This window comes from Homo sapiens, chromosome 4 (genome assembly GCF_000001405.40).
Source record: "Homo sapiens chromosome 4, GRCh38.p14 Primary Assembly".
In the NCBI taxonomy this organism is placed as follows: Eukaryota; Metazoa; Chordata; class Mammalia; order Primates; family Hominidae; genus Homo; species Homo sapiens.
Genome location: NC_000004.12, coordinates 147,819,518 through 147,843,983, shown reverse-complemented (window position 1 = coordinate 147,843,983; position 24,466 = coordinate 147,819,518). Strand labels below are relative to the sequence as shown.

Sequence of the window (24,466 nt, the reverse complement as noted above, 5' to 3'; positions counted from 1 at the left end):
CAGCAAGTAGATGGCATTTGAAGTCATGCAAGTAGAGAGGTAGGACGGTAGAAAAATGGAAATGTCTCAGACCAAGTACTCAGATCAGGAAATGAAAGAACAGAGGTAAACGATGGCAATGAAACTGGAGAAAGCTACCAAGGTGTTGGATAAAAGAAGAAAGGGGTTCAGGCCGGGTGCAGTGGCTCACGCCTGTAATCCCACTTTGGGAGGCCGAGGCAGGTGGATCACCTGAGGTCAGGAGTTTGAGACCAGCCTGACCAACATGGAGAAACCTTGTCTCTACTAAAAGTACAAAATTAGCCGGGCAGTGCCTGTAATCCCAGCTACTCGGGAGGCTGAGGTAGGAGAATCGCTTGAACCCAGGAGGCAGAGGTTGCGGTGAGCTGAGATCGTGCCACTGCACTCCAGCCTGGGCAACACAGCGAAACTCCGTCTCAAAGAAAAAGAAAAAGAAAAAGAAAAAAAAGGAGTTCAGCTGTGTGGGCTGCAGAGACGTTTTAAAGAAAGAATGAGAGCTCAGCAATATCCATGGCAAGGTGGCAGAAAGGGCTGGGCTGGAGTTGATTTATGACTGACAGGTGAGACCACGTGGGGAACAACCCTTCCTCAAAGAATGACCAGGTGGGGCAGTAGAGAGAGAGGATGACTGCTGAAAGAGAACATGCCATAAAGTAAAGGCATGTATTCTTTTAAGACAGCTGGTATTTAAGAGATGAGAGCATGTCTAAATGCCCATGTGAAGAATCCAGAAAGAATGGTTCAAAATCTCTGACACGGGAGGAGATGGGATGCTGAGCATGCATGGAGGGTTGGCCTGTCATACGAGTCAAAATCCTTCCTTCCCTGTGATAGAAGGAGAAAAGGGGTGCCCAGTACAAACGGGTTTGTGGGCTTCATGACAAAAAGCTGAGAGTTGCTACCAAATGGCTATTTTTTCCATAAAGTACAAAACAAGGTCACTTGCAGAGAGTTTGGACATGAGAAGTTTCACGCCCAACTAACTGAAGAATGAATGAAAGAATCATTACAAATGAGACAACACTTCTTAGAGAAACAAGAAGTCCTTTTGAGATAGGTGAGGAGGAGTTTATGAAGTTATCATCTGCCTTATTGTGGGATTTTCTCCAGCAAGGAAGGGAAAAGGTGGGTGGCTGAGTTCATCCCAGGCGAGTGTTTCTAAGAGATGTGAACACGTCAGCACAGTATGACGTGGCAGACAAAGTGCTGGCAAGCTGCGCAGAGCTTCTGGGGAGCAGAGGAGGAAGGCCCCCTGGGTAAGAGAAGACTTCCTGAAGGAGATTATGCACAGCTCAGCCTGAAACAGAGGGACGGTGTTCTCCAGGCAAAGGCCTTCCATGTGGAGAGGGGAAAACAGCAATTTCAGGGCATGGAACCTAAGCAGCTCGGTGTCACTAAAGCAGATGAGGAAATCAGAGAGGATCACGAGACAAGGCTAGAGATATCGGATGGTCTCCATTAGCCATCAGAATGGGACCCAGGAAATGCTCAGAAAGTAGAGGTAGGTTATAAATAATATAGACACATGAAGGCATTTTAAAATAAGAACCCCAAAACTCCATACTCTGGAGTAAACACTGTCTTCCACCAAAAGAACCAGGCTACAAAGATTACACAAGAGCAATCTTAGGTCATTATATTTTTCCTTCATTTGGAGAATTCAATGCAATATCCGTCTGAGCCCCAAAGGCTAACACTAGAGTAGAAAAAGAATATAAGGGTTTCACGGCCAGGCATGGTGGCTCACACCCCATAACCCTAGCGCTTTTGGAGGCCGAGGCGGGTGGATCACTTGAGGTCAGGAGTTTGAGACCAGCTGGTCAATATGGTGAAATTCCATCTCTACTAAAAATACAACAAAATTAGCCGGGCATGGTGGCAGGCACCTGTAATCCCAGCTACTCATAAGGCTGAGGCAGGAAGAATCGCTCAAACCCAGAAGGCAGTGGTTGCAGTGAGCCAAGATTGCACCACTGCACTCTAGCATGGGTGACAGAGCAAGACTCCATCTTGGGGGTGACGTGGGAGGAAGAATATAAGGGTTTCTGCCTTACTATCTTCAGATCGGTAAGCAAATTTCCAAAACAAGGATAGTAGTAGTTGTGGCAAATAACACTATATCCAACTCATTTATAAAAAACTTTTTTATTAAAAATACTTTGAAGAGCTTAAAATTATGATTTTCCTTCTTTAGCAAAGCCTGATTTTATAACTTCTAAACTGAACCTAAAAATTATATTTAAGAACAAAATAATAAAGAAGCCAATAAATGTTTCAATAAGGCAATGTCAACTGAGCAACAAGAATTTCCTTTTCTCAAAATAGACTGGAAGCTCCACGGAATCTCTCACTTCCTGCTATAATTTCACAGAAATATTATATAATATTTGTTAGTAGTAAGTGTTACTGATGTTTCCTAATGGTGAAACATGATCCTTCTTCCCCAGCAACAAATGAATACCAAATCTAGGACTGTCCCTAAAACTTAAAAGGCAATTTACAGTGATGACAGTTTCCCAATGTCAAGGAGATGGATGAAGTAATAATATTGAGAAGTTTTCAAATACTAACATATTAGAAATTAGATAAGAGAACAAGTACAGAATGTGATTTTATAACCACACATACAGATTACATAATCATATTCCTATAAAATACTTGAACCAGCCAAGAAAAGAAGTCGCAAAATGCCTTGGCTAGTGAGCCTTGGAAAGGGTTTTGGATAGCTCTGCTTGGAAACAAAAGGAAGCTTCTTGAACATGAAATAATCAGATGCTCTCTCCTCACAGCAGAAGTCAGCCAACTTTTTCCATAAAAGACCAGGTAGTAAATAATTTAGGCTTTGCAGCCATGCAGCTGCAGTTCCAACTACTCATCTCTGCTGTGGTAGCACAAAAGCAGCCACAAACAGCATATGAATGATGGGTCCAAGTGTGTTCCAACGAAACTTGACTTACAAAAAGAGGAAGCAAGGTAGGTCAGGCCCATGGGTCACTGTTTGCCAAACCCTGCCTGAAAGGATCATCTTGAGTATCATGGCAAAACAATGCTCTTACGCTTATCTTGTATTTTTAAAAAATATACATTTACAATATTTGCAGCCAATCAGAAGTTGGGAAGGAAGAAGGAATGCTGGATAAAAGAATCACAGTTCAAGGAGCTCTCGAGCTAAAGAGAGGGACTCAAAAGTAGCGCCGTTAGGATTTGCCTGGGATAAGCAATCTACAGGATGCTGAAAGGCAACTGCTCAGGTGTGCAAGATGTCTCGAGAACAGGTCACATGAATTTCATACTGGGCTCAAATCTCCTAAAATGTTCTCTTAACTGAAAGTTTAACATAAGCCAATGGAGCCACAAATTGACCCTGTAACATACACTGATGACACATACCGCCTGAATCCAAACAAGGTAAGCACTCGACTGCATCCCCCGTTAGATTAGAGCTTACCTCAATAGCATGGTTACCACATTTTAAAACAGCCATTTCCAACTGGGGTAAAGCAGGAATGTAACCAGAATGCTAAAAAGGTTTAGGAGGAAGAAATAAAAAAAACTAGATGTTTCATGTGAGTGGGGAGGAAGAGAACATTTAGTGGAAACATGAAAGCTGTCTTTAAATATTTAAATGGGTACTGCATGAGAGAAGAAAAAAAATCATTCTGATTTGCTTAAAGGGAGCAAAGCCAGGTTTGATGGGTAGAAGCTGCAGAGTAGCAGATTTGGGTTTCCTATCATAGGGACTCAAGAGAACTATAATGAAACAGGCTGCCTGGCAAGGTGGTGACCTCCAGCTCCCTCCACATAACCAAGCAGAGACTAGATGACCCATGACCAGGAATACCCTCTCACACATGCCTGCACTGGGAGAAAGCTGGCCAAGAGGACAGCGGAGGTCCTCATCCATCTCTATCAATCTGGGATTCTAAATGAGCTGGGAGACACAGAAGTACAAAGTACATTTCCATGCTGTAGTTTTGAGAATCATGCTACAACAGCAAACTAGAGAATCCATTAGAACTTCACAATTCAAAGTAAAAAGAGTATTATGTAACAGTGTGGAGGATTAAAATGTTTCCCACAATTACTCAAGTCTGAAATCCTTTTTCGTCAGACATTCGGATGTAAGGATCTTAAATGTCTAAAAAGGAAAGGAAAGTTATGTTATCTTAATCTATCCTCCACAGTCCACGCTAGAGCTAAAAAATCTGTTGAGAATAACAACCAACCTGCAGAGAATCAGACTCCACTGTGGGGAGGAACCACTCCAACAACTTTACATTCCCCCACACTGGAAATCAAAGTCTAAGTTCTGATGTCATAAATTCTAAAGACAATAGGACTTAGGGCTATAACCCCATACCCAGTAAAAACACAACAAAGGCATACCTACATCCTATAGTATCTTTAGTAACAATTTTCTAAAGTCTCAGTCTAGGTAAAACTGAGTAAGTCAGTATAACTACTAAATCATGCCTTTCTAATCACTCAGTACTAACAAGGATAGGCTGAGTATAGTGAAACAGAAGGAATTTTACATCCGTTCCCCAGAACACTCATTATTTTAAGCCTGGATTCCACGTGTTTTTGACCCCAGAGGAATGCATAATCTGAGAACAAAGGAATATCTCCCCTATTTTCTCCCATGACCTTCCAGATACTTCCCATTTCATTAAACTAAAGGGAAAATTCTGTTTTCCAATTCTAATGTCAAGAATAGCAGCAAAGAAACCATTCAGCAAAAACACAGCTCTTGTTTTTCCTTGAAACGGAATCTTAAATGGTGCCTAGAAACTTTATATATACATAGACAGACAGACAGATAGATAGATAGATAGATAGATAGATAGATAGATAGATAGATAGATAGATACGATAGATCTAAACATAAAGGAATCTTTTTCCCAAAATGATCTGTTAGGAAAAAAAAGAACTTGCCTCGTGTAAGAGTTCTTAAGAGTCTTCTAAAGGAGTGGACTTTCCCATTATTTTGATCAACAACTGTTTGAGGAATCTTAGCCTAAAATAGCCCTAATCACATTTAGTTTCAGATACTTAGAGATTACAAACAGGACTAAGTTACAAAAACAAAGGGACACTAAGAAATTTAAGATATTTAGTTACAATTCCAGAGATGACTTCAAAATTTTGTATTCAGTAATTTTATAAAGCTCACTTTAAAAGGAATAAGATCAGTGGTTACATTAAACAAATCATAGCCTGGGCAACAAGGCATAAACCCCATCTCTATAAAGAATACAGAAAATTAACTAGGTGGGGTGGCATGCATCTGTAGTCTCAGCTACCCAGGAGGCTGAGGTGGGAGGCTAGTTGAGGCCGAGAGGTTGAGGCTGCAGGGAGCAGTGACTACACCACTGCACTCCAGCCCAAGCAACAGTTAGACCCTGTGAAGAAGAAGAGGAGGAAGAGAAATCATGGAAACATATCCCAGAGTTAAGTCTTTGGTGTGTGTGTGTGTGTGTTTTTTTTTTAAGAGACAAGGGTCTCACTCTGTCACCCAGGCTTGGAGTGCAATGGTGTGATAACAGATCACTACAGCCTCGAAATCATGGGCTGAAACAATCCTCCTGCCTCAGCCTCCTAAGTAGCTGGAATTATGGATTCAAGCCACTGTGCCAGGTTCAGGAATAAGTTTTTTAAAGAGACTGTCCAAATGGGCTGCTAACATATACTTTTGGCTTGAGATAAAATTTCCAGTGAAAGCATCAGAAAGATTTTAGGTGCTATAGCTCAAAGAACTCAGGCAGATGTGGCCATCAATGCTCTGGAAAGCTGTACTGAAAAATTCAGAATGTATCCATGATGAATATACTAATCTCAAAGGTGCCAAGAGCTGGGACAAATTTTTTATTAAATAAGTGCAGAAAATGTTTCTAAAATATATGCTGACTTTGCCTATTATTTGATTTTAAATATGGACACATATTTAATCAAGTAAATGATGAAGGGAGACATCTGATTATCTAGCAGATGTACATATGCATACCTAAAAGTATACGTGTTCAAGTTGTCTGAAACAATTTTATTATGTTTAATCTTCTGGGAAAATAATGTTGTCTTACAATCAGGCACATACAGGAACATCAGTCCTTTTGGGCTGCCCAGCACTTGAAACCCCTTCCTATGTTTGAGGAATTCTCCTTCCCACTGAAACAAAGTCCACCTCCCACCATAAAAGCCAAAAATGACAGACACTGGCTTGCAGTAAGGTAATGACACCTAGCTAGGGTTCCACTAATGAGATGGTCCCATCCAAGACTTGGATTCAAAAGCTACTGCTTTAAAAAAAAAAAAAAAAAAACAGTGACCAGAGATTCTAGCGAGGTGGCAGCAACTAGTCTAATTTCCAGAGGCAGCAGTTCTTCCAACAGCCACAGGGCAGTGAGGCTCTTGGTGCAAACTGTAGTGTCCACATCCAGTAGCAATAGTGGCATCTGCTCTAAGCCCAGCTCTGTGGTACAACCTGGGCATCATTCCTGGTTCCCCACATCTCTTAAAGATACTACAAGAAACCCAATACCCTTTAATGAATTTCCTTTATGTTCAAACTAGCTAGTGCTTGCAATTGAGAATCCAGACTAATAAAGGATTAGTATTTTTTAGAATTTCAGAACCGTATAAACAATCTTGACAAAATGCTTTCGTATTCTTTTCTCTATACTCCTAACACAAGAGTTCCCCTAATTAAACCAATTCATTATCAATTAATTACATCACTCTCCCTCCACACTCACCCTTTGGTACCTCTTTCTCCATCTATCCAGCCTCCCCCGGCCTATACCTTCCCCATCATTCTAGGCTCAAGTTTAAATAGAAAGATTAAGATGGCCAATAAAGTTCCCCCACTTTAATACCTGACATAAGAGAAAGAACAAGAGTCAAAAGACTAATGTTGACAAAAAGTGAAAAAGTTTCACAATCGATTTCGCTACGAGGGCCCTCCAGCACGGAAAAATAGGAGGCCAACGTGTTTTCATTTTGGCTCTGCCCTAACTAGTTCTATTTTTAGATGACAGAAAATAACAATTTCCTTTTGTTACCTGAATATTCTCAACTATAAAGCCAGGAATAATACTTTCTCCCTACCTAAAACAATTTAAAAAAAAAAAGGCACATCATACTTGAAGCAATTGTAACTTCCCAACAAATCCCAGTATGGTATTTTATTTTCAAGCACAGCTCAAGCTAATCTAATTTTCCCAGTAGAGAAACTAATGTAAAAACGAAATTCAATTTTATGATGGCAATAGCTCACACTCATTAGCTAAGTACTAGCTTACTTGGTACTTAGATTTAAGGAACCCACGCACAAAGCTCTAACTGGGACACAGGTGCTCAGGTGCTATAAATTAATTCCACAGGGTTCAAACTTGAAAATCAGGAGCCGATTAATAGGAAATGGCTGTTGAATAATGCCTCATTCTTTCAGACCAAAGACGACTCACATAATAAGCTAGAAACTATGATTTTAAAGTATATATCCCAAATCGACTAGTTCAATTATCACACTTCTGCTTTCATACAGATAATCCAAGAATAAAATGTCCCCAGTAAGAATTTTATCAACTTTCAATCCTGAACTGTGAAAAACTTGAAACCTAGTCCTATTAAAGAGGATTAAGGCTGAAATTCTGACAACTTCTGGTCTCTGATTTAATTCCCTGAATATCTGCCTATGACCTGGCTCTCTCAAAAAATAAAAATAAAAAAAAAGGTCAATGTATCACCAAAGTCTACGATTCTCTTAGTATCTATCTTCTACGAACAAGTATGTTAGGGTGTGTTTGCCTCCCACAAAAGAAAAGCTAGCATCCATTCTGAAGGACATTAACTGAAAAAAGATAGCAGAAATTTTATTCAGATTATTTAAATCAAACACAATCTACCTGTAAAGATTTGTTTTTAAGTACACTTAGGAAAAAATGAGAATCATAAAACAAAAGCTACTGAGTATTTAAGGAATGAGTCTGCCTAATAAGGATATGCAGCAGATGCTGAAACTTGATCTTCCTTCCCTCTGTGCATAAGGGACAGTAAGAACCTCGCTTCGATATTTTAAACAAAATAAATACTTGGGAAGAATATTATTATGAGAGGAAATAAAAACCCCATAGAAATTAAAGTTTCATGAGGCAATTTTGAATTTTTTTTTTGTTTTACATAAGAGAAAATTTTAGTTTCTGAAGTGAATGGTATGACTCAGTGGCACAGCTAGAAATGGAACCTCGTGCATACTAAGGCAATAAACTGTTAAATCAAGAAAATAAAATAGGCCAGGCGCAGTGGCTCATGCCTGTAATCCCAGCACTTTGGGAGGCCAAGGCGGGCAGATCACCTGAGGTCAGGAGTTTGAGACCAGCCTGGCCAACATGGTGAAACCCTGTCTCTACTAAAAATACAAAATTTAGCCAGGCATGGTGGCACATGCCTGTAACCCCAGCTACTCAGGGAGACTGAGGCAGGAAAATCTCTGGAACCTGGGAGGCAGAGGCTGCAGTGAGCCAAGATCCTGCCACTGCACTCCAGCCTGGGCGACAGAGCAAGACTTAAGGGAAAAGGAAAAGAAAAAGAAAAAATGTGAGAGAAGAAAAGAAACATTCAGAAAAGAATGGCTTTAATCAATGACAAAAGCTTTTCTTTCCAGCCCATCTGTGATGCACGGGTTAAGAGAAAAAAGTGGCAGTCAACAGTAAAAAACAAGGGCTGCAGGGTTGAAAAACTCTTGGGAACTCATTCTCTACCAGGCGGCCACTAGCTGAGCACTCTGGACAAGGGTTTCCTCATTGTATCCTCAGGTGTGAGAACACGGTGGCTCATAGTAGGCACTCAAAATATTTATAAATGAAGTGGGATTCTCCTATAAATTTAGATAATTTAAAGAACAGCATTTCTACATAAAAGCAACATTTTCTGCTTATAGTGATAATAGCAACCGATGAATGACAATGCTAAGTACCCTGAATCTTTTACTCCAAATGGTTCATTTTTGTTAGTCCAGGTCCTCTAAGAAGCAGACACCAAGACAGGATGAGACACACAAGAAATTTATTAGGGGAAACATCTGTGAGAGAAAATGGGGAGGGAGCCAGGGAAGACTGGAGGGGCCATCAGACAGTGATGCAGGTCTGACCCAGGGGAAGGAGACAGGGAAGGAAAGCAAGCCGGATGGGTGGGTGTGTATGGGTGTGAGGGTGGGGGCAGGTGGGTGGGTGTGCGGGTGGAAGTGGGTGGGTATGTGTATGGGTGTGGGTGTGAGTGTGGGTGGGTGGATGTGTCTGTGTGTTTGTGTGTGTGGGTGAGGCTGCAGTGCCATTCTGGGGTAAGTCTAACAAGGCTGCCGTTAGAAGGCTTGGGACATTCAAACAAGTTGAAACTTAATCCCCAGTCTGGCATTATTGAGAGGTGGGGCCTTAAAAGATGAATGGATTCATCCACTGATGAATTAATGGGTTAATGAATTTTATTAATTTTTTTGAGATGGGGTCTCACTCTATCACCCAGACTCTAGAGTGCAGTGGCACAATAATAGCTCTCTGCAGCCTCAACCTCCCAGGCTCAAGCAATCCTCGCACCTCAGCCTCCCAAGTAGCTGGGCCTACAGATGCGTGCCACCACCACACCTGGCTTCCCCCTGCCCCTGCAGAAATGGGGTCTCATTATGTTGCCCAGACTGGTTTTGAACTCCTGGGCTCAAGCAATCCTCGTGCCTCACCTCCCAAAGTGCTGGGACTACAGGTGTAAGCCACCATTCCCAGCCTAATGAGTTAATGGATTAATGGGTTATCACAGGAGTAGACTGGTGACTTTATAGAAAGAAAAAGGAAGAGAGACCTGGGTCCCCCACTCTTGGACTTCTCAGCCTCCATAACTGTAAGAAACAAATTCCTTTTATTTACCTAGTTGCAGGTATTCTGTTATAAGCAACAGAAAACAGACAAAGATAGGCAGAACGTGGGAGGCATGGCTTTCACACTAACACAACTGTACCACAGAGCAGCTGGGCCTGATAGTCAATGTCACTCCTCCTTCCTCTATCTGAGAGGTGCCCATGGCTGCCACAGCTTCGAAACCATATTTTCCCACTACATTGGCATTTTCTTGAATATCTAACACAATCTCTACCACCAACTTAATATATATATCATTGAATCTAATCACCACCAACTGTAAAACACTCCATTATTTTATATCCTACCACAAAAAAATCCTGCTAATCTTGAAATAATAGCTTAACACTTAGCACTTTTATATACATTGAAAAAGCTCTTTGAAAGGTATGTTTTCATCATGTATCCCTCTTGTGCATAAAGAAGTAAGCAAACTACTTTTGTTAAGATATTTCTAAAACTTCTTCAAAGTCCAACTCCTCTGAATCACTTTTCATCTCAGTCATCAAAATCTGGTTTTTCCCACATGAATTAGTCTGTTTTCACACTGCTATGAAGTTACTGCTTGAGACTGGGTAATTTATAAACAAAAGATGTTTGACTGACTCACAGTTCCACATGGCTGCAGAGGTCTCAGGAAACTTACAATCTTGGCACAAGGGAAGGGAAAGAAGGGCACGTCTTACATGGTGGCAGGAGAGAAACCAAGTTCAGGGTAAACTGCCACTTTTAAACCATCAGCTCTCGTGAGAACTCCCTCACTATAACAAGAACAGCATGGGGAAAACTGGCCCTATGACCCAATCACCTCCCACCAGGTCCCTCCCTCAACACATAGGGATTACAATTCAAGGTGAGATTTGGGTGGGGACACAGAGCCAAACCGTATCACCACACATATTTTTCCTCTGTGCCACTGAAAATACTGGAGATGCATCATTTCTTCAAAGGGTGCTCTTAAGGAGCTCCATTCTTGTATCCAGGATTTTCTTCCAAGATGATGGCAGGCACCCACTCTTTGGATACTGATACCAGCACTTCCTTGACCTAACCAGGTCTCAACGGAAGGTTTTCAAACCACCACCAGCATTCATATTTCTTCCTTAAGTGGTCTGTGGACTGAAATACTGAGGAGCTACAGTTGTCCAAAGAGTAAAAGAGAAGTAACCTCATGTCCGTTTCATGACTGCTGCCTGGTGGATAGCAACTATAAGATACATATCCATTTCACTAATGTTCAAAGGTGGAAGGAAAAATATTATGTCTTACAAAGAGAAAAAGGTAAGGCATAATGTCGTTAGGATACTAGAAGATGTGAAAGATTCTATTTTCATCTCTGTCACAACCTTATTTAGTGATGTAGAAACTCCACCCTCAATGAGCTCCAATTTCCTTTTTTTTTTTTTTTTTTGAGACAGAGTCTTGCTCTGTTACCCAGGCTGGAGTGCAGTGGCACGATTTCAGCTCATTGTAACCTCCGCCTTCCAGGTTCAAGCGATTCTCCTGCCTCAGCCTCCTAAGTAGCTAGGATTACAGGTGCCCGCCACCACGACTGGCTAATTTTTGTAATTTTAGCAGAGACAGGGTTTCACCACATTGGTCAGGATGGTCTTGAACTCCTGACCTCAAGATCCACCCACCTCGGCCTCCCAAAGTGCTGGGATTACAGGCGTGAGCTACCGTGCCTGGACTCCTCTTTTTAAAAAAAAAAAAAAATTAAGTGGTCAAATATGTCTCCCTAAGTTCTCTTCAGTTCTTTGTTTTCAAGGCTATACCATCTAATATTTTCATGACATGGTCTAAAGGCTGATCCTAGGTACCTTGGCTCATCCCGAAATATTTCCCTAGTGAAACAGCAGACTCAGCTGCACACATTCCCAATAATCGAATCACTCCTCTGGATTAGACAATTAAATGGGCTGGTTACATTCTAGGGTCCCTTGTGTGTGTGTGGGTGGGTGTGTGTATGTCGGGCGGGGCAGTCAGGGGGAAGAAGAGAGCAGAGTTGGCCGATTCCTCAGAAGCAGAGAATACACCCTAAGGATATGAAATTCAGGAAATGTAAGTTTCAACAGGGAAGTAGAATCTGATGATGACAAGGCTGGAAGGCCACAGATGATAATGAGTCACCAACAGAGAGGACACTGAGTCATGGGGCAAGGCCTTGCAGGGAAAGGGGTCCAAGAAGGAGACAGGCCTCCTGCCTAAGATAATCTTCACTCATTTTAGAATTTTGATTTGAGTTATTCCTGACTGTGATCTCTATAGGATTCTGAGTCAGTAAATTAAACTCTCAAACGGTACATTCCTGAAAAACAGGTTTTACAAAGACATCCCTATCTGACTGAATAACAGGCTTACGGGAAAAAGAGAATTGTAAGAAAAAGCAATGCTGTCCAATTGTAAAGGTCAGTTCCAAGGAGGAAAAAGTCTTCATAAAATTAGGTCACTGACAACTTTTAAACCAAACTGAGAAATGTTCTCACAAATAAGTTCAAGATGAATTTCCTCCATTCTGAATGTGCCTGCCAACAGAAATCCACATAAACTGTAAAAGAACTGATTAAAACAAGCTTCACATGCCATATAAAATACTGTAAATATAATAAGATGAAACTAAAGGCATAATCTTTTTAATGGCATCTAATGCCTTAGGTACTTATCCTATAAGAACTCACAAGCAATATTAAATACAAAGTAAGTAACACTAAAAATCCTACTAAACCTATTCCATTAACACAAACCAGCTATAGTCTCAAATCCTTTGGAAATGAGAAGTCAAAGCTTAGGCTTTCCATCACTATTTTAACCTCCTGACAGGGACACAGTCATCACGAAACAATTTAGAGTGTATCCAACGTCCAGACAGATCTAACCCTAAGGAAAGGATTGCCAGCCAAGATTTCACTAGCACCCTAAGCCAGTAGCTCTGATTTCAGCCTGCTTCAGAATCACCTGGAGAGTTTCATGAAAGACCAGCTGACAGAGTTTCTGACTCAGTAGAGTTCTGGGGTGGGCCTGAGAATGTGCATTTCTTGCACGTTCCTAAAGTGATGCTGGACCAGGGACCATACTTTGATGACAAGTGCCCTAGGGCATACTAAAGAAAGAATAGCATATTTGCTCCTAAAAGGTGGAATGCATTTAACTCATTTTAACCATCATACATTCTTTTAGTAATACTCTGAAACACTTTTTAAAAAATATTTAGGTAAGTGCAAAAGTTAACTGTGGTTTCAACTGGGTGCGGTGGCTCACATCTGTAATCCCAACACTTTGGCAGACCAATTCGCACAGATCACGTGAGATCACGAGTTCGAGCCCAGCCTGGCCAACAAGGTGAAACCCCGTCTCTACTAAAAATACAAAAATTAGCTGGGTGTGGTAGCAAGTGCCTATAGTCCCAGCTGCTCAAGAGGCTGAAGCAGGATAATCACTTGAACATGAGAGGCAGAGGTTGCAGTGAGCCAAGATCCCACCACTGCACTTCAGCCTGGGAGACAAAGCAAGGCTCCCCCCATCAAAAAAAAAAAAAAAAAAAAAAAGGAATTGTGGTTTTGACCATTTAAAAAAAAAGTGGCAAAAACCGCAATTACTTTTGTACCAACCTAATAGTTTGGAACAAAAATCCGTGTCAAAAGTCCAAAAACTTATGGAGGAGATTTGAGAGCATGAAAGGATGATGAGAAGGGGGTGCAGTAAAGCACAGGCCAGGGCTGAGAGAGCAGGCATCACGTCTTGCCTGTGACCGACCATCTAAATGCTAACAAAAGCCTTTGGTATGCAGCAGCTTAGTACCTTCCCTATAGGGGCAAAAGGTCAGGGCAGGTCACCCAGGAAGTGATCCCTGGCCTGGTATTTTCACAAGGGTAAAGTCTGTGGTAGAGAAAAACAACAGAAAAAGAAAAGGGTCTCAAAAGCCTGAAGAGTCTGCATAGGCAAAGGGCTTTCCTGCCCAAATGGGGAAAGGGGTGCAGCCGTGGACAAGACACTTCCTCACATCTCCTTAGCAGCCCAGTCTGCCCCCAGCACCCCCAGGATGAGAGGGAGGCGGAACAGCTCCATCTCAGGCACCTTTTGTGCACCATCAGGCAAGCTCCACCTTCTCTCTCCTGGCACTCCCGCTTCCCCGCAGTTTTCCTGAACCTCTGGGTCTCAACCAATTGCCCTTATTTGCCAGAATCCTGAGAAACTGGGCAACCATTTTAGGCTAGGGATGAAACTCAATGATCTGATAAAAGAATACATGTAGAGAAGTAAACGCAATATGAAGGGCTTTTAAAAGAACAACATAAACACTACAGCACTATTTTAAAAGTCCTTAGATTCCTGGACAGCTGCCCACCTCAGATAAGTACAACATGTCCTGCCATGCCAGAGAGAACATCTCTGGAATTCTGGCAGCAACACACCACACAGCCCTTTCCTCTGAGAACACGCGCAGAAGTGAGTAGAGCAGTTGCAGCCACTAACTGTATCAGATCTGACTCCCCAGGTTGAGTTCTTCACCTCCAGAGTCAAGGGTGGCAACATGATCAGCAAAAACTACTCACTCAAAAACACTGTCCTGGCCGGGCGCGGTGGCTCACATCTGTAATCCCAGCACTTTCAGAGATCGAGGCGGGTGGATCACCCGAGGTCAGGAGTTTGAGACCAGCCTGCCCAACATGGTGAAACCTCATGTCTACTAAAAATACAACAAATTGGCTGGGCGCGGTGGCTCACACCTGTAATCCCAGCACGATGGGGGGGTCGAGGCAGGAAGATCACAAGGTCAGGAGATCGAGACCAACCTGGCTACCACGGTGAAACCCTGTCTCTACTAAAAATACAAAAAAAATTAGCCGGACATAGTGGCACCCGCGTGTAGTTCCAGCTACTCGGGAGGCTGAGGCAGGAGAATCGCTTGAACCCAGGAGGCAGGGGTGCAGTGAGCTGAGATCACACCACTGCACTCCAGCCTGGGCAACAGAGCAAGACTCCATCTCAAAAAAAAAAAAAATACAAAAAAATTAGCCAGGCATGGTGGCAGGTGCCTGTAATCCCAGCTACTGGGGAGGCTGAGGCAGGAAAATCGCTTGAACCTGGGAGCCAGAAGTTGCAGCTGAGCTGAGATCATGCCACTGTACTCCAGCCTGGGCAACAAGAACGAAACTCCATCTCAAAAAAAAAAAAAACTATCTTGACTTTTTAAAGGGTGAGGCATGTGTATTCATAGAAATTACACTTCTTTGAGTGTGGAGGGAAACACTGACTTTTTTTCTTAGACTGGCAATTGCTCTACTTCTCTCTCCAACAATTCACTTTAGTAGGAACAAAGCTGGACATTGTAGGGGGGAAAGGAAGGGGCTATGCAAACATATCCTTCCCTCTTTTCGAAATTTCAACAGTTTCCCCTCAAGGAGGAAACCAGACATAGCTAAGGCTCATCCTTCAACTCAGCCCAGATATCACCTCTCCAAGATGCCTTCCCTGAATTTCTCAATCACTTGATTACCACGAAGCATGTTGGAAATTACATGCCTTCTTTCAGCCATCTCCTCCAATGGATGAATCACTACTTATGTCTTTATCTTTATAGCATGTGGCACAGTGCTTGGCATGTGGCAGGCACACACTATTTGTTGAACTGTATACTTAATACAGCCTATTTAAGCATAGAGATGAGGCGTATGAACTTATATAACTGGTGGCTCAAAACCAACAGGGATTGCTGAGCATACACACAGATGACTTTATCCCTTAAAACCTAAAGTCTCATCTTACCCTTAAGATTCAGAAAACATTTTAAAATAGTTGACATTACTGTTTGCCTTCTAAAATAGACATATGTAGTTTTAACATTTTAATGACTCAGTCTTAATTATGAATATCCAATTATTAATATTATGCTGCACCATTATTCAATTTAGGATTTCAGAAAATACTAAACTAATTGCTTTTAAAGATAAAGTGGAATGGGCACAGTGGTTTATGCCTGTAATCCCAGCACTTTGGGTGAATGAGGCGGGCAGATCACAAGGTCAAGAAATTGAGATCATCTGGCCAACATGGTGAAACCCCATCTCTACTAAAAATACAAAAATGAGCTGGGCGTGGTGGCGCACACCTGTAGTCCCCGCTACTCAGGAGGCTGAGGCAGGAAAATCGCTTGAACCTGGGAGGCGGAGGCTGCAGTGAGCTGAGATTGCACCACTGCACTCAGGCCTGGTGACAGAGCGAGACCCCATCTCAAAAACAAACAAAAAAAAAGATTAAGTGACCACTATGAAATCCTTGGAACCAATTTTAGACTATTTCTACCTCCATTTTACAGTCATTTTGCATTCCTTTCTTAATCTGTGGCTTTTAACATGCTGATGGTTTCTAAAACTTTTAAGTTAAAAAAAATTTAAGTAAAACAAGAGTCTTTCAAAGTTCTCAGAATGTACTGGCAACCATTTTAGCTGCTTAAAGACATTCCTTTTCTCCTTGTCCCGGTGTCGGGGGTATGGGCTTACTAAACTATACAAAGGCCCTCTGCTGTGTCTCCACCCCACAAACTCTAGCTCCAATACTTCTTCCATAAACCCTTTCCTAACAGCCACAAGCTTAGGGGCTGCCCACTCCATGTGAGCCACATTATCTTTGCTGGCGCACTTTGTATATTGTTTTCTTTTCCCATTCCTTGTCTGAAGCACTTAGTATAGGCTATTTAATTAGCTCTTTACCACTTACTCTCCAGTATCACACTGGAAATTTCTTGAGGCAAGTATCTATTCTTCCTCAAAAGTTTCAGGCGAGTGTTCTGCAATGCATCAGTTATGTTTTAGTAAGCATTCAAAGGTATTTAAAGAAACAAAGGTAGCCACAGTGATTCCACTTTAAAAAAAAAAAAAAGTGATCAGTGACTATCAAGATGAGAAGTACCCAAACAATGTCAATATGGGTTAAGAATCCAACTTTTCAACTTTTACTAATTTCATTATTGCAACTCACTGATAACTTAGGAAAGTACTATTTTAAAGGTTTCCGAGGCAAATATAAAAGGATCAGGAATTCTTGTAAAGGAGAAAAAAAGCGGATGGGGAGAAGAACCTATAGATTGAAAGTGACTTGGAAATGTATCAGTCAAATGTAATATGTTTGGACTCAGATTCAAACAGACCAACTGTTATTGAGGGCGGGGCTTGGGGAGGGAAAGAGGCAGAATTGGAATGAGTATCAGGAAAACTTGAATATGACCTAACTTTTCACAAAATTAAGAAATTACTGATTGTGATAAGGATACTGTGTTTTTTTAAGTGTCTGCTTTTTGAGATATATACTGAAGTATTTGTGAATGAAACTGGGCTTTCTGTCAAAATAATGAGGAGAGCAGGGGGTCAAGGGGAGTAGGGATCACAGGAGAAACGAGACTGGTCTGAGGCTGGATGTCGAGTCCATGTAGTTTCATTGTATATTTCTCTCGACTTTGGTACATGTTTGAAATTTTCCAAGCTAAAAAGGAAGAAAGCATTAGGAGGTGTCCTGTTAATTCCGTGGTTGGCTGTGGCTGCCACCCACCCCAGCTTTGGACAGCGTCCTGCTTTCCAGCAGGTGTTTCTGTTCCCACAATGAGTTGTGTATGACACACCACACCACTCCTAAGGTTCATGGCCTTATACAGACACCACCCTATTCTCGTTCCTACCCTGCATGGGAACCCAACCTTGTCTAACACAGAGACCCTATCAACCTCCATCACAGCTGGAGCTTAAACCAGCCAGTTGGCTAACAACAGCTCTGCAAACCATGCTGTCTACTCCACACAGCCTGGAGCCAATACCATGTTCCTGTTTTTGGACCTCATCGCTCTATTTCTAGGAACCTAAAACAGAAACAGAATACTGAGCCTAACAATGGTCACACGCTATTTCTGTAGAGCTAAAATCCAGCACCACTCTGCTCAGAACTTTTCCTCCAGACACCAGGATGATGCCCTTTGTGCAGTATCCTACTGAAAAGGCAGTCCGCACCTCACCACTCCAGATATGCTGTAGCCCCGCCCCACCTGGCTCCTTGCCCTGTATTGTTTTGTAGCATTTTTCACTGCCTGCCAATGGATTACAGGTTTATTTCTACTTCACTACCCCCGCCTAGAATCTAACCTCCATGAAGGCAGAGACTTTTGCTTTCTTTGCCTTTACCTTTGTCCTGAGATTCTCAACAGCAACTGGAACATAAAAAGAGATCAATAGGTATGCGCTCAATGTTCAGGATGCCAGGGAAGTACAACTATCAAAGAGGGTTAAGAAAAAAAATTGACACTATTAACATAAACTAAGAACACGTACCTCACCAGCCCACACATCGGCTCCATGTACTAGAAAGGTGATGTCATGGCACTATTTTTATTCACCATCTTATTTAGTCTTTCCTAAATAGCTGAAAAATTGATGACTACAGGATCACATGAATAATGACTGTATCTGTCAGTGTGTGCCAGAAAAACCTCATGGGACCACACTGTCTTCACACACCCTCTACAGTATCTACAATATATACACACAAATTACCTCAAAATTTAGGAATGAGTGCAAATTATATTAGGGCTTTTGAGGACATATGTCTCTGTCACTTTTTTTTTTTTGAGATGGAGTCTCGCTCTGTCGCCCAGGCTGGAGTGCAATGGCGCCATCTCAGCTCACTGCAACCTCCGCCTCCCGGGCTCAACTGATTCTCCTGCCTCAGCCTCCCAAGTAGCTGGGACTACAGGTGCCCACAACACCCAGCTAATTTTTGTATTTTTAGTAGAGACGGGGTTTCACCAGGTTGGCCTGGCTGGTCTCAAACTTCTGACCTCAGGTGATCCACCCACCTCAGCCTTCCAAAGTGCTGGGATTACAGAGGCATCAGCCACTGCGCCCAGCCCTCTGTCACTTTTTAAATCCAAATCAGTGTCCTCCCGCAGCCCTAGCCAACATAAACCCCCACCAGCCACCACCCAGGAAATTAGAGTGACACCTACGAAGCCAGCTGCAGTGACAGGGAGGGCAGTTCAGAGTGCCTGCTTCTTAACACATACCAGCTCTACCTCCTAGATGCCATGTGATCTAGGGCAAGGTAATGTGCCTCAGTTTCCTCATCCTTTAAATGGGGAACAACAGCAGAATCTATCTCATAGGGTTGATGTGAGAATTCAGTGACTTAGCATTAGGTAAACAGCTTAGAACAGCTCCTGGCTGATATGGTTTGGCTCTGTGTCCCCACCCAAATCTTACACGAAAGCGTAAACTCCATAATCCCCACATGTCAAGGGCAGGACCAGGTGGAGGTAATTGGATCATGGGGGTGGCTTCCCCCATGCTGTTCTCATGACAGTGAGTTCCTGTGAGATCTGAAGGTTCTATAAGCATCTGGCATTTCCCCTGCCTGCACTCAACTCCATCCTGCCACCTTGTGAAGAAGGTGCCAGCTTCTCCTTTGCCTTCCACCACCATGACTGTAAGTTTCCCGAGGCCTCCCCAGCAATGCGGAACTGTGAGTCAATTAAACCTCTTTCCTTTATAAATTACCCAGTCTCAGGTATTTCTTCATAGCACTGTAAGAACGGACTAATGCACTGGCACACAGTCAAGGTAAACCAACTTAGCTAATATGTCCAGTATTATTTCTACCACATCTAGACCCACTCATACACTTACACTATAACGTAATTCTAGATAGTACTCATTTTCAAGAATATAGAAAAAAGAATCCGTATTTTTTTTTTTTTGAGACAGAGTCCCACTCTGTTGCCAAGTTTGGAGTGCAGTGGTTCACTCTCAGCTTACTGCAACCTCCATCTCCCAGATTCAAGCAATTCTCTTGCCTCAGCCTCCCGAGTAGCTGGGATTACAGGTGCATGCCACCACACCCAGCTAATTTTTTTGTATTTTTAGTAGAGATGGGGTTTCACCAAGTTGGCCAGGCTGGTCTCGAACTCCTGACCTCAGGTGACTCGCCTGCCTCAGCCTCCCAAAGTGCTGGGATTACAGGCATGAGCCACCTCGCCCAGCCTGAATCTGTGTTTTTTTTTAAGCCTGAAATAAATGGTGAGAATAGATGGTGTGTCACAACCTGGTAGCAATTCTGCTGTAAATCTGGTTTAATTAAAGAATATCATTAGGAAGGTAATGTAAGCTTTTAAGAAAAGCAGACAATATTCAATAACCCCAAAATTTACAGTTGAGTGCAAATGAGATCATACACTCAAGGCACTCAGCACAGCACTGCATATGAAGAGCACCCCATGGGGGACAGCTGTTTTTTGTTTTTTGTTTTGTTTTTTCTTTTTTTTTGAGACAGGGTCTTGCTCTGTCACCCAGGCTGGAGGGCAGTGGCACAATCTCGGCTCACTGCAACCTCAGCCTCCTGGGCACAAGTGATCCTTCCACCTCAGCCTCCTGAGTAGCTGGGACCATGGGCACATGCCACCATGCCTGGCTAGTTTTTGTATTTTTGTAGAGATGCGGTTTCACCATGTGGGCCAGGCTGGTCTCGAACTCCTGAGCTTGTGCAATCCACCCAGCTTAGCCTCCTAAAGGGCTAGAATTTCAGGCATGACCCACCATGCCTGGCCAAGGGTAGTTCTTCTTATTCTTGTTATGATCATGAATCTTGATGCAAAGTGGGATCTCAAAGACCTCCAAGGCCCAAGTTCTCTCCCTTTCCACACAGCCTAGAAATCTACAGGAGTATGAGTCAGGCACTAACATTGCCCAGCTGTCCTCTGTTTCTACATAAGCTTTTCTGCTTTTATCCCGCTGATATATTAAGCTTCTGCATGAGAGCCTACATAAATTAAAGTGCTCTGCTGCAACAAAAAGCTAGAAAGCAGTGATGTAGTCCTACTGTCCACTTTACAGATGAAGAAGTAAGGCCTTGGTCGAGAGGCCCAGCAGCTTCTCCAAGTTCTGACCGTGGTCAGCACCCTCAAGGAACTAGAAATCAGGGCTCCGGAAACCTCATCTTTCCATTACAATGCACTACTGTACCCAGGGATAAATGCTTCACAACTTCTACCAGAACAAGCTTCCAAATCCAGATTTTTTTCCCCCTTGAAAGCTGACTTATTAATTTACACCCCTCTCAACTCACCATAATTTCTCTCTGTTCCTCCAGATTCTTCAAAAAATTTGAAAATTCACGTAAGGAAGCATCTGTAAGAAGAAAGGAGTGATTATTTGGTGGCCATGGCAAAGGAAAACAAACCAAAATATCATGTTTAATTACCTATGCATCGTTCATCATCTGTCACAGCATCACCGATAAACTCAAACTTAAAGTCTCTGAGTGAATGAGCAAACTTCCGCTGGGCCACTGACAGACCTAGAAAGAAAAGTATAATGATGACTTGGGTTCTTGTTTTATGTCAAAGCATAAAAGAAATTTATTCTTCCTAAAATTGGTAAAGCTGTAGAGCTCTCCTCCGCTCAATCTATGAGAAGGCATGACCCAACTCCCTTGCCAAATGGCCCGCCATCTTCAACCTGGCACGCTCTGGGTAGCCTCTGACTTCTAGTTCATACCCTGCCACAGAACAGATGCTGAAAAAATGTTTATTCCCTCCCCTACCTCCTTCTTCCTCAGATCTGATTATTTCACATTGTTCCCTAAAGTATTCTCCCTTTCTCTGCTCACTCCAGTCAGGACTTGCCCAATTCTGAAGTTCAGGCTGTGATTAGGAACACACACACCTGATAGTGGCTTGATGCAATCTGGCTGCCTGCCATGGTTTCAGACATAAGGAACTCAAAAGCCCAAGGTCAGCCAACCAGCTGCTCTTAACCAATTGCCAAATAACCACTCCAGCCAGAGAAACCCAGAAGATTCAAAAAGAATGTTCATAGAAAACAGCATCAGAGAAGTAACTGAAGGCCAAGAAGAAATGGTAGGAAGAATTAATTCTGCAAAAGACCTACAGAGGTCCTCATCTTAATTGGAGATTAATAGTGGAAAACTCTACTTCTAAAATAGGCTAACATTTATTTTACAGGCCTTGCACCGTGCTAGGTGATACACATTTCATTTCATTCAAAAATTCTCAAGAGATATATAAAGATTATTATACCATTTTACAAACAAAGAAGCCAAACCTCAAAGATGTTGAGTAATTTGCATAAGGTTGGCACAGCTACAAACAATAGCAGCGAAGGCTTGCTTCTTCTTCAGAACCACTGGTCCAAAGGCCATGGCCTGAGCAGTATACAATCCTGCCTCTGGTTTAAAGCACTTTCTAAGAAGGTGTTGACTGACTTCTGCACTTCACACAGCTGCTGTCTTCCTGTGTGTCTCCTTCACACATTACTGTCATAATGAAGACTGAGTCATATTATGGTAATAAAATTGTTTAATAGACTATTTTTAGAGCAGTTTTAGGTTCACAGTAAAACTGAGCTGAAGATACAAAGGCTCCCCATATAGCCCCTGCTCCACCACGTGCACAGCCTCTAACCTTTTGTTCAACATTCCCCACTGTAAGTTTCTGAAACTTCATTTTTCCTCTAATTCATGTTTATCGTGCTGTTTGCAATTTTTAAAAATAATATGTGAACACTGAAAGACCTAAATATGAAAAGGCAAAACTGTAAAACTTTTGGATCATACAGGATTTTAATTTCTTACACCTAAAGTATAGAAGAAAAGCACCAAGCATAAGGTGAAATGGGATGGATTGCAAGCATGGACCAATCCTCCAGCCCTCCTTGCAGGCACATCTCAGTGCACTGACATTGCAGCTCCTCCCATGGAAACTCATCTATTTCCCACCCCTTGAACCTGGGCTAGTCTTGTAGCCAATAGAATACAGAGAAAGTGACACTGTGCCAATTCAGAGCCTCCACCTCAAGGAATGTTACACACCTCTGCTCCACTCTCATGGAACCCTCAGTCCTTCACGAGAACAAGCCCAGGCTCGCCGGCTCACTGATGAATGACTCCTGGCTCAGTGGCCCCGTATAGTTGCCGCAGCAGCAGCCCACCAGCCAGCCAGCCAGCCAGCCCTGTACATGCATGAGGCTGTTTGGAGGGACATGTAACTGCCCAGTGAGTAAAGCGCACAATGGAATAAATGGCTGCTATTTTAGCCATTAGGTTTGAGGGTAATTGAAAAGATAACTGATAAAGAAAAATTAATAAAATTTGGTTGTGTTAAAATGTAAAATATGGCCAGTGTGGTGGTTCACGCCTGTCATCCCAGCACTTTGGAAGGCCAAGGTGGGCAGATCACTTGAGACCAGGAGTTTGAGACTAGCCCAGCCAACATGGTGAAACCCTATCTCTACTAAAATTACAAAAATTAGCTGGACATGGTGGTGCATGCCTTTAATACCAGCTACTTGGGAGGCTGAGGCACGAGAATCACTTGAACCCAGGAGGAGAAAGTTGCAGTGAGCCAAGATCATGCCACTGAACTCCAGCCTAGGCAATAGGGAGACCCTGTCTCAAAAAAAAAAAAAAAAAAAAAAAAAAAAAACTGGCCGAGGTAGCCCACGCCTGTAACAGCACTCTGGGAGGCCAAGGCAGGTGGATCACCTGAGGTCAGGAGGTGGAGACCAGACTGGCCAACATAGTGAAAACCCATCTCTACTAAAAACACAAAAATTAGCCGGGCGTGGTGGCGGTTGCCTGTAGTCCCAGCTACTTGGGAGGCTGAGGCAGGAGAATCGCTTGAACTCAGGAGGCGAAGGTTGCAGTGAGCCAGGATCACACCACTGCACTCCAGCCTGGGTTAGAGAATGAGACTGTCTCAAAATAATAAAGTAAATAAATAAAATAACTTAGTTCCTAATGTAAACCAGGCAAACATGCAATTGTTCTCTAAGATCTAGACACACTGGTTGCTCTTGGTTCACACATGCCAAACTCACTCCAGTTTGAAAACCCTTTACTTGCTATTCCCTGAGGCTACATCTTTACTAGCCCACTCCTCCAACACCATGGCTCAGCTCAGGAATCCTCCCCACCTCAGCCTTCCTAGGATAGGGCTAGTCCTAGGCACCGTGGCCCTCTCCATTCTACTGCCGTCTTATTTCCTTCATAGCACTTACTCATTCACCCAAACTTATTTAGTCAATATTTGCGCATTGTCACCTATCTTCCCACTCCGGAACCTCATTTCCCTGAAGCGACGGCTGTCAGTCTTATGCTTCTCTACATCCCTGAAACAGCAGCCAAACCTGTAAATAAGATACAATAGGCTGTGCACGGTGGCTCAGGCCTATAATCCCAGCACTCTGGGAGGCCGAGACGGGCGGATCACCTAAGGTCAGGAGTTCAAGACCAACCTGGCCAACACGGTGAAACCCCATCTCTACTAGAAATACAAAAAGTAGCCAGGCGTGGTGGCAGGCACCTGTAGTCCCAGCTACTCAGGAGGCTGAGGCAGGAGAATGGTGTGAACCCGGGAGGAACCCGGGAGGCGAAGCATGCAGTGAGCTGAGACAGCGCCACTGAACTCCAGCCTGGGTGACAGAGCGAGACTCCATCTCAAGAAAAAATAAAATAAAATAAATAAATAATAAAATAAAAATAAAAAT

General features: G+C 42.8%; 1 protein-coding gene across 5 annotated transcripts in view, besides 4 other annotated features; it reads right to left on the bottom strand.

Moving 5' to 3' along the window:
- ARHGAP10 (Rho GTPase activating protein 10) overlaps window positions 1-24,466 on the bottom strand; it is a 340,689-nt gene that overhangs the window by 228,793 nt on the left and 87,430 nt on the right. For 4 of the 5 annotated variants that reach the window (XR_001741324.2, NM_024605.4, XM_005263215.4 and 1 more), the window contains exons 2-3: window positions 21,162-21,257; window positions 21,027-21,088 (exon numbers count right to left, since the gene is read on the bottom strand). Coding sequence is in view for 4 of the 5 variants with exons in the window: in NM_024605.4 (NP_078881.3) it covers window positions 21,027-21,088; window positions 21,162-21,257 (158 nt within the window). In the remaining variant the exon portion in view is untranslated. Of the gene's footprint in view, window positions 1-21,026; window positions 21,089-21,161; window positions 21,258-21,503; window positions 21,594-24,466 lie in introns of those variants that run through there. The other variant, XM_047416161.1, reaches the window with a different exon arrangement.
- Window positions 642-701: an enhancer, noted in NCBI's record as "active region_22011". NCBI's record gives its function as "activates an Ori minimal core promoter by ATAC-STARR-seq in GM12878 lymphoblastoid cells {active_cell/tissue: GM12878}" and the evidence as "EXISTENCE:reporter gene assay evidence [ECO:0000049][PMID:35858748]".
- Window positions 11,378-12,577: an enhancer, noted in NCBI's record as "CDK7 strongly-dependent group 2 enhancer chr4:148752558-148753757 (GRCh37/hg19 assembly coordinates)". NCBI's record gives its function as "activates an origin of replication core promoter dependent on BRD2, BRD4, P300/CBP, MED14 and CDK7 cofactors, with strong dependence on CDK7, by STARR-seq in HCT116 cells {active_cell/tissue: HCT116}" and the evidence as "EXISTENCE:reporter gene assay evidence [ECO:0000049][PMID:35650434]".
- Window positions 22,382-22,882: an enhancer, noted in NCBI's record as "H3K4me1 hESC enhancer chr4:148742253-148742753 (GRCh37/hg19 assembly coordinates)". NCBI's record gives its function as "activates a minimal SCP1, AML or CMV promoter by ChIP-STARR-seq in primed H9 embryonic stem cells {active_cell/tissue: H9 hESC(primed)}" and the evidence as "EXISTENCE:reporter gene assay evidence [ECO:0000049][PMID:30033119]".
- Window positions 22,883-23,383: an enhancer, noted in NCBI's record as "H3K4me1 hESC enhancer chr4:148741752-148742252 (GRCh37/hg19 assembly coordinates)". NCBI's record gives its function as "activates a minimal SCP1, AML or CMV promoter by ChIP-STARR-seq in primed H9 embryonic stem cells {active_cell/tissue: H9 hESC(primed)}" and the evidence as "EXISTENCE:reporter gene assay evidence [ECO:0000049][PMID:30033119]".